General features: G+C 47.4%; 2 annotated features.

Annotated features, from left to right (window-relative positions):
* Positions 911–1,030: an enhancer, noted in NCBI's record as "active region_14481". NCBI's record gives its function as "activates an Ori minimal core promoter by ATAC-STARR-seq in GM12878 lymphoblastoid cells {active_cell/tissue: GM12878}" and the evidence as "EXISTENCE:reporter gene assay evidence [ECO:0000049][PMID:35858748]".
* Positions 9,025–9,598: an enhancer, noted in NCBI's record as "H3K27ac-H3K4me1 hESC enhancer chr19:35959455-35960028 (GRCh37/hg19 assembly coordinates)". NCBI's record gives its function as "activates a minimal SCP1, AML or CMV promoter by ChIP-STARR-seq in primed H9 embryonic stem cells {active_cell/tissue: H9 hESC(primed)}" and the evidence as "EXISTENCE:reporter gene assay evidence [ECO:0000049][PMID:30033119]".

Below are 9,846 nucleotides of genomic sequence, written 5' to 3' on the forward strand. Positions count from 1 at the left end.
GCCTTCAGAAGCGGTCATCCAGTAACCCACTTGGCAAAGTTTCAAAGGTCTGGGAAAGTAGATGCGAGGTCAAGCAGTGCGGGAGGGGAGCCAACTCTGCAAACGCTGGCCACGGCCAGCTGGCCACCAGCAGCTTACCCGAGGAGGGGTTGTCCAAGCTACATACTAACCCCGGTTCCCTCTCCCCAAACATTGTCCTCTGCCATCTGTCAGTCCGAGCTACGACCAGCCTCGAGAAAACAGAGTTAGGAAAGTAAACACACTGCTCCCAAATCTAGCTATTTTAAATAAAAAGCTCACCCATGTGGGCTGCAGTTGAGAATTTCTAAAGTGCCATGGCAAACATTACACCATTTGAGTTTCCACGGCGTAGCCTTCATTCATCCGCCAACATTTATGGAGGCCTACCATGTGTCAGGCCCTGTTTTAGGTGCTAAGGATACAGCAGTGAACAAAAAGGGTAAGATTCCTGCCCTCAAGCAGCTCCCATTGCTGGGCAGACAGGGAGAGCAAGACCCATAAGCAGGATCCTTTGCACTGGTGCTACGTGCTGTGAAGACGATAGAACCGAGCTGGGATAGAACATGACTCCCAGGAAGGGAGTAGGTGGTTACTTTTGAACACACAGCTTGAGCTTGAGAAGGCCATGCAAAGGTGATATTTGAGCTGGGACTAGAATGGCAAGGAGGAATCTTGTATGCCAAGAACTGGGGGAATAATGTCCCAAGCAAGGGGCTCCAGGCCTGTGCGAGGCCTGAACAGGCTGAATTTGTGCCGGGAAAAGAAACGCCAGGGTGGCTGCAGCTTAGTGACAGCTGAAAAGCCAGCAAGTGTCAGATCCCAGGGAGTCTCAAAGGCTTTTAAGAAGCACAACAGGCCGGGCGCGGTGGCTCACGCCTGTAATCCCAGCACTTTGGGAGGCTGAGGCGGGCGGATCACGAGGTCAGGAGTTCAAGACCAGCCTGACCAACATGGTAAAACCCCGTCTCTACTAAAAATACAAAAAAATTAGCCAGGCGTGGTGGCACACACCTATAATCCCAGCTACTCAGGGGCAGGAGAATCACTTGAACCCGGGAGGCAGAGGTTGCAGTAAGATGAGATCGCACCACTGTACTCCAGTCTTGCAACAGAGAGAGACTCCAAATCAAAAAAAAAAAAAAAAGAAGAAGCGCAACAGATATCCTCTCCCTACTTAACAACAAGAAAAGCTGAGGCTCAGCGATGCAAAGTGGCAAAGTGGCAAAGTGACACACGCAAGTCCTCAGTGAGATGGTGTTCTGGCCCCTCCTCCACGATTCCCGACTCCCTCTCAAAACCACAGGCACACTCTCTCTCAATCTTTACTTCACTGAGGAAGAGAAAAGAGGGCAGGAATCGTGACTCATGCGGTGTGCAGTTGTTTGGTATAGAAAGTTGGGGAGAGTGATGGAGACTGACCTCCATCGAGGTTCTGAGAAAGGAAAGGCATCGGGGGTGGGGTAAGATGCCTGGTGCTGAGAGCAGAGTAGAGACCAGCAAGAAACCTGGCTTCTAGGAGGAGTCGTGGCTGGGGAGAAGAAGGGGCCTGGGCTCCAAGAAAGTGATGGGAGGCCAAGGAGTCACCAAGAGCCGTCCCATGTTGTCCCGGGTCCACTGGCCTGCAACAGAAATGAAGGTGTGAGGACAGAAGCATAGAGCTCGGGGGATGCGAGCAGGCCTCCAGCCTGCGTCCACTTCTCAACCCTGGCTGCGCTCCAAAGCCACTGGAGGAGTTTCCAAAACTGCCGGTGTGTTTGGGCATTGTATTTTCTAAAGCTCTCCAGTTGCTTGTGAAGTAGAGTGAGGGTTGAGAAGCAGTGAATTTAGTCCTGGTCCTCTAGGGGACAAGCTGAGGGCTCTCCAGGAAGGGGCAGCAGGGTGTACTGAGTTTGAATCCTGTCCTAGCGCTGTGCAACTCAACCTTGCTGCGCTTTCGTTTTCTCACGAGAATTTTTTTTTTTTCTTTGAGACGGAGTCTCGCTCTGTCGCCCAGGCTGGAGTAGAGTGGCATCATCTCAGCTCACTGCAACCTCCGTCTCCCCGGTTCAAGCAATTCTTGTGCCTCGCCCTCCTAAGTAGCTGGGATTACAGGCATGCGCCACCACTCCCAGCTAATTTTTGTATTTTTAGTAGAGACGGGCTTTCACCATGTTGGCCAGGTTGGTCTTGAATTCCTGACCTCAAGTGATCCACCCGCCTCAGCCTCCCAAAGTGCTGGGATTACAGGCGTGAGCCACTGAGCCTGGCCTCTCACAAGATTTAAAAAAAAAAAAAGGCCAGGTGCAGTGGCTCACACCTGTAATCCTAACACCTTGGGAGGCCAAGGTAGAAGGATCACTTGAGACCAGGTGTTTGAGACCAGCCTGGGCAACAGAGTAAGACCCCATCTCTAAATAAATAAATAAATAAATAAATAAATAAATAAATAAATAAATAAATAAATATAGTTGATTTTAAAAAAGAAAAAGAAAAAAATGAAATTATTAAATAAAATAAATTAGCCAGGCATGGTGGCACACACCTGTAGTCCCAGCTACTTGGGAGGCTGAGGAGGGAGGACTGTTGGAACCCAGGAGGTGGAGGCTGCAGTGAGCCACTGTACTCCAGCCTGAATGACAGAGTGAGACCCTGACCCAAAAAATATATAAGTAAGAAATAAAAGAAGAAAAAAATAGGGCTAACAGCACCTACATCATCATGTTATTATGAGGATGAAACGAATTTCATATTGTACCTCCAAAGCACTTAGAAAAGTGTCTCGCACTGGAGATGCCAAATACATGTTTAACCATGGAAATGTTTTAAAACTGTAATTCCATTCTTCTGCTCGAAGGCCTCCAGATACTTCTCATGATCCTCAGAGTAAAATCCCATGCCTTCCCCAAAGCCAGCAAGGCCCCTGATGCATCTAGCACTTGGCTCTCACCCAACCCAGCTCATCCCTACTCCCTTCCTCCAAGCCCTCCTCCAGCTCCCTTCACTCTTCCTTTTTTGTTACCGACAGCTCACTAAGCTCCTTCTCCTTGTGGTTCCCTTTTCGTGGAGCCCTCGTTCCCCAGGTACTCATCCAGCTGAATTTCCCCTCTTTGAGGCTGCCTGTGACTCAAATTTTATTTCCTCAAAGGACTTCCCCCTCCACCACTCCTAAGTGGCTTCCCTTTTGACACATTCACATAATACCTAGTTGCTGACTTCGCTGGGTGTATCATTAGCTGATAGCATCTATTTTTGTCTACTTGTTATTTTTATCCGTTAGACTTGCACATCCCTTAATGCATCAAATGGTTGACTGTGAAAAACAACTTCCTTCCCCTCTCTCTCCACCACAGTCACTTACCGCTTCCTGGAGGCAGCTGCTGCTACCTCTTGTCAGCAAAATATTTATCCCTCCATGCCTTTAAGGGGCTTGCTTATTTTACTGTATTTCTTCATTTCTCAATATAAGGTTTCATCTGTTAAATTATTCTGTGGCAGATGAAGATTATGCTCTTATTCTTTTCCCAATATGTACAACACCCTTCCCGCCCTGTCTTCCCGATCTGCTCCCATTGTCACTATGTTAGAAAATATTCAGTGTTTGCATAATCGTGACTACATCGATGTTAATGACATTGGAGCTCTGTAGTAAATAACAGCTCCTTTTTTTTTTTTTCTTGAGACAGAATCTCACTCTGTCACCCAGGCTGGAGTGCAGTGGCACGATCTCAGCTCACTGCAACTTCCACCTCCCAGGTTCAAGCAATTCTCCCTGCCTAAGCCTCCCGAGTAGCTGGGATTACAGGTGCCCGCCACCTAGCCTGAATAATTTTTATTTTTAGTAGAGACTGAGTTTCACTGTGTTAGCCAGGATGGTCTCGATCTTCTGACCTGGTGATCCGCCTGCCTCGGCCTCCCAAAGTGCTGGGATTACAGGTGTGAGCCACCGCGCCCAGCCAGTTCCTTTTTTATCCTGCACAACTTTCCTCCCAAAACCCCTGGAATTAATAATCACCTTATTTTTTCATGTGTTTAGTCTACATGTTTACCACGAATTCAACCCCAAACTCTTTGTCAATGTTCTTGTCTCCTCTCAAGAACTTCAGGGGTTTTAGGAGGATACAGATTTCATCTCCCTGAAGAAATGTGTCTTGGAACTTTCTGACCTGTTCCAGTCTGCCTGGGTGGTGGTTTATGCCAGGTGTATAGCTCATGCTTGAAGCTCTTTTTTTTTTCTTTTAGATGGAGTCTCGCTCTGTTGCCCAGGCTGGAGTGCAGTGGTTTGATCTTGGCTCACTGCAACCTCTGCCTCCTGGGTTCAAGCAATTCTGTTGCCTCAGCTTCCCGAGTAGCTGGGATTACAGGTGCGTGCCTTCATGCCCAGCTAATTTTTCTTGTATTTTTAGTAGAGACGGGGTTTCACCATGTTGGTCTTGAACTCCTGGCCCCATGTGATCCACCCACCTCGGCCTCCCAAAGTGCTGGGATTACAGGCATTGAGCCACCGTGCCCAGCCAGCTCACACCTGAAGCTCTTAAGTGGAAAGCCTCTTTGCTTCTCTGCTCTTGTCTTCCTCTTCCTTGGTTTACATCCTTAAGCAGCTTCTTTATTTACTGCTGGGAATAACGCTCCAAATCCTAAGGAAACTGAACACTCAAACAAAGGATTCTTAGCCAAGCAATTTTACTTGCGCAGAGGGGTGCTTCTCCTTGGCCAGTTGCCATGAGAGCACACCTGAACAAAGGGGCACGAGAGCCTTTATTCCTAATGCAAGTCCTGCCCCTGTACCCTTTCCCCATTGGCCGGAGTCGGGCCATACAATCTAAACTAGTCCCAGTTGGCTAAACATTTGAACTTTCTTTAGATAAGGTGGGCACGTAAGGGAGAGAGGGGAAAGGGGAAGGGGTGTCTGCAGTGAGCTAGAGAGCTAGTCTTCTTTCCAAATAAGGAAAAGAACGTGAGCTGGTACTAATAACGCCTGGTACTGTGGCGTGTCTGGGCATGGAACAAAGGCAGAAAGGAAAAAGAAGGAGCAAAAGGAAAAGGGGGTGGGGGGATACTATGAATTAAAGAATAAAGGATTGATCGGCTATTTGAAGAGAAACCTCATCATAGCCCACATTTACTTATTTTATTATTTATTAACTTTTTTGGAGACAGAGTCTCGCTCTGTTGCCCAGGCTGGAGTGTGGTGGTACAATCATGGCTCACTGCGGCCTCCATCTCCTGGGCCCAGACAATCCTCCTGCCCAATCCCCTAAAAGCATTGGGATCACAGGTGTCACCACACCTGGCTATTTTGTTTGTTCGTTTATAGAAAGGGGAGGGTCTCACTATCCTGCCCAGGGCTGGTCTCAAACTCCTGGGCTCAAGTCATCCTTCTGCCTCGGCCTCCCAAATTGCTGGGATTACAGGCATGAGCCACCATGCCCAACCCTGACGCAGCTTCTTTAGAAAGTAAATGCTTTGAAATCCCGCATGTCAGAAAATGTCTTTATCCCACTCTCATGTGTAGTTGATATTGGGCTATGTATGGAATATTCTGGGTTGGCAATCATTCTTCTTCAGAACTTGAAAGGCATTGCCGCATTGCCTTCTAGCGTCCAGTCTGGCTGAAAATTCCCAAGACATCCTGACTCCTATCCTTTGTCCATGGCCTGTCTTTTTCTCTCTGGAAGCCTGCAGGATCCTTACCTTTCTCACAAGGTATCTAAAATTCCATCCATTGGGCATTCAATGGACTCTTCCAGTCTACAAAATAATTTCCTTCCATTTGGGAAGATTCTCTTGAAACACTTTGTGATGGTTTCCTTGCCTTCATTTTCTCTCTTCTCTCCTTCTGGAATCCTTGTTATTTGGGGGACACTGCACCTCTTACACGGCCCTCTAATTTTCCCTTTTTTCCCATTTTTTCTCTCCCCATTGTTTTGCTTTACTTTCTGTGAGATTTTCTTATCTTCCAGCCCTTCTATTTTTCATTTTTGCTATCACTTTTCATTTCTGAGCACATTTTTATTCCTTCTTAGCATGCTGACCTTGTTTCATGATTGCAATGTCCACTCTGATTTCTCTGAGGAATCTTCATCTCCCTGCTCTAAGATGCCTTTTTTGGTGTCAGTTGCTATATTTTATGTTAGAAGTTGTCATCATATATATGGTAATTCTTGGTTGTCTGCTCACATTGAAGAGAAGGGAAGGGACTACTTTTTTTTAGATACATAAAACGTATATAAAGGCACTATGACATGATGTCTAAACCAGAAAAGAATGGTTGAGTGCCATGGCTCACACCTGTAATCTCAGCACTTTGGGAGGCCAAAGCTGAAGGATTGCTTGAGCCCAGGAGATCCATACTAGTCTGGGCAACATAGTGAGACCCTGTATCTAAAAAAAAAAAAAAATTTTTTTTTTTTTTGAGAGGGAGTTTTGCTCTTGTTGCCCAGGATGGAGGGCAATGACGACGCGATCTCGGCTCACCGCAACCTCCGCCTCCCGGGTTCAAGCGATCTCCTGCCTTAACCTCCCAAGTAGCTGGGATTACAGGCATGCACCACCATGCCCAGCTAATTTTGTATTTTTAGTAGAGATGGGGTTTCTCCATGTTGGTCAGGCTGGTCTCCAACTCCCAACCTCAGGTGATCTGCCTGCCTCGGCCTCCCAAAGTGCTGGGATTACAGGCGTGAGCCACTGTGCCTGGCCAAAAAAAAAAAAATTTTAAATAGCCTGGCATGGTGGCATAGTGGTGCCTGCCTACTCAGCAGTCCCAGCTACTCGGGAGGCTGAGGCAGGAGGATCACTTAGCCCAGGAGGTCAAGGCTGCAGTGAGCTATGATCACACCACTGCACTCCAGCCTGGGCAACAAAGCAAGATGCTGTCTCTAAGAATAATAAGATTTTCAGCCTATTTTCCTTATGTTAGCTTGTCCTTTGTCCCATTTCCAGAGGAACCTGTTGCCACTAGTTCATGAGCTTTATGTGGATTCTACAGTAGAAACTTCATTGAATCTTGGTTTTTCCCACTATTGGCTTATGATCCAACTTTCACAGGTCTGCTAAGTCAGTCACCAGTTACCATTCATTCATCTGCTGTCCAGCTGGCAAAATTTTGGTGGTATTGTATCCTCTTATGTTCTCCCTGTACTTACGGGGACTCCTTTCTAAAAGATCTCTTTACTGTCACTACAGTGTGATTTCAGGAGGCAGCAAAAGGAGATTCATGGATTTCACCCACCGTTATTAGCCCCAAGTATTTCCTCTTTATTGTTATTGTTTGTTTGCCTGCTAATTGTCTGTCTTCCCCTCTTGAATGTAAGTTCCAGGATAACTCATCTACTTTGGTTATTTTGCTTAGGTTTTTGTTTCTTTTTTTCTTTTTTTCTTTTTTTGAGACGTAGTTTCACTCTTGTCACCCAGGCTGGAGTGCAATGGCATGATCTCGGCTCACTGCAACCTCCGCCTCCTGGGTTCAAGCAATTCTCCTGCCTCAGCCTCCTGAATAGCTGGGATTGCAGGGGTCCGCCACCACACCTGGGTAATTTTTGTATTTTTAATAGAGGCGGGGTTCGCCATGTTGGCCAGGCTGCTCTCAAACTCCTGATCTCAGGTGATTCGCTTGCCTTGGCTCCCAAAGTGCTGGGATTACAGGCGTGAGCCACCGGGCCCGGCATGTTTTTGTTTCTTTTTTGGAGATGAGGTCTTACTCTTTTGCCCAGGCAGGAATGCAATGTCGCAATCACGGCTCACTGCAGCTGCAAACTCCTGGGCTTAAGTGATCCTCCTGCCTGCCTCAACCTCTCAAGTAGCTGGGTCTATTGGTGCACACCATCAAGCCTGGCTTTTTTTTTTTTTTTTTTTTTTTTTTGGTAGAGACAGGGTCATGCTATGTTGCTCAGGCTAGTCTCGAACCCCTGCCTGACCTCAAGTAATCCTTCCATCTCAGCCTCCCAAAGTGCTGGGATCGTAGACCTGAGCCACTATGCCCGGCCCCATTTTGTACACCTATCCATCCCCAGCAGTCAGAACCATGTTTGACACAGAGTCAGTGTTAAACAAATGAATGAACCAATTTGCTAGCAAAAGAAACGTACTACTCGCCATCAGGGAGGTGGTAGCAGACTCAGGTCTCCTAACTTTCCGGGCAGTGTCCTTCCTACCACAGCATGGTTGGGGTATGGGTAATTTTGCTAATTAATGATATCAGACAGATTATAAAGTGCTTCACCTGGTACCAAATGGTTTCAGAAATCTTATCTCATTTGATCCTGACAACAGCCCATGGGCCAGATGGTAAAAGAATTATTATTGGCCCTAATATAGCAATGATCCCTGACAGGAACTATCCTGTACCATAGAAATCACCGTCGCTGCTCCTGACCTCTCACCCATGTCCACTGTCATTTATCTGGGCCCTTCCATCACCTCCTCTGCAGACAGGACTGTTAAGGCTTGTCACCTCTCAAGCACTTGGTCCCCAAGAATCCAGGACTAGCTCCTTCATAAAGAGGGAAACGGGTACAGACAGGGGTAAGTCATATAAGGTCCTTGGAGCAAAGAAGACATCTGAGTTTTGTGATGTTACAGGAGCAGAAAAAAGAAGAAAAGTGGAACTGTCAGATCAGTAGCACCTTAGAGAAGAGCTGGATGGAGAAGGAAGGAGAAGGGGCTTAGATCCTGGAAGGAGAGAGAATAAGTCCCAGAACTAAGAGCGGTATGTATACGGTGGGGAGAGAGGTGGGATGAAAATAACCATTTACCATAACCATAGATTCCCTTTTTTTAAAATGAAATGAAAAATATCCTAGAATATAATCACAAAGCCAGTTAAAAAATATTCTACACAGGCCGGGCGGGATGGCTCATGCCTGTGATCCCAGCACTTTGGGAGGCCGAGGCGGGAGAACCGCCCGAGCTCAGAAGCTTCACATGGCAAAACCCCATCTCTACCAAAAAATACAAAATATTAGCCAGGTGTGGTGGCGAGCCTGTGGTCCCAGCTACTCGGGAGGCTAAGGTGGGAGGATCACTTGAGCCTGGGAGGCGGAGGTTGCAGTGAGCCAAGATTGTGCCACTGCACTCCAACCTGGGTGACAGTGACACCCTGTCTCACCAAAAATAAAAATAAAAAATTCTGGACAGCAGGTTCTGTAAAACCATAACATTAGCTCCTGGGATCTGCTTAGTTTCTGGATAGCCTGAACTCTGCCCTAAGACCCCAGGGAAAAGTGAAAGTAGGATGCATGGCCCCTTCCAGGGAAGCAAGATGTGACTCAAAAGTCACACCAGGTCCCAAGGGTATAGGTCACAGAGATAAAGGCTGTAAAGCACCCCACACTTTCTCATTGTGCTACCTGCCATCCTCCTCAGATTCTGCCTGCCACCTCCTGGGCAGATAAGGCTACTACCCGCCTGCAAACCCTGGCAGGTCCAAGCACCACTCAGGCTGCTGTGCCTCTGTGATCCACACCCAGACACTGGAAATCGCCCAGAAGCAGAAACTTAGGGATGAGGAAGTTGGCAAGGGGGGGTCTTTTAACCTTGCATTAAATCAAGATGAGTCTTTGTTTTTTGTTTTTTTGAGACAGAGTCTTGCTCTGTTGCCCAGGCTGGAGTGCAACGGCACAATCTCGGCTCACTGCAACCTCTGCCTCCCAGGTTCAAGAGATTCTCCTGCCTCAGCCTACCAAGTAGCTAGGATTACAGGTGCCCACCACCACACCCAGCTCATTTTTGTATTTTTAGTAGAGACAGCGTTTCACCATGTTGGCCAGGCTGGTCTCAAACTCCTGAGCTCAAGTGATCCACCCTCCTCTGCCTCCCAAAGTGCTGGAATTACAGGTGTGAGCCACCGTG

The sequence above is a fragment of the Homo sapiens genome, chromosome 19 (genome assembly GCF_000001405.40).
Source record: "Homo sapiens chromosome 19, GRCh38.p14 Primary Assembly".
Taxonomy (NCBI): Eukaryota; Metazoa; Chordata; class Mammalia; order Primates; family Hominidae; genus Homo; species Homo sapiens.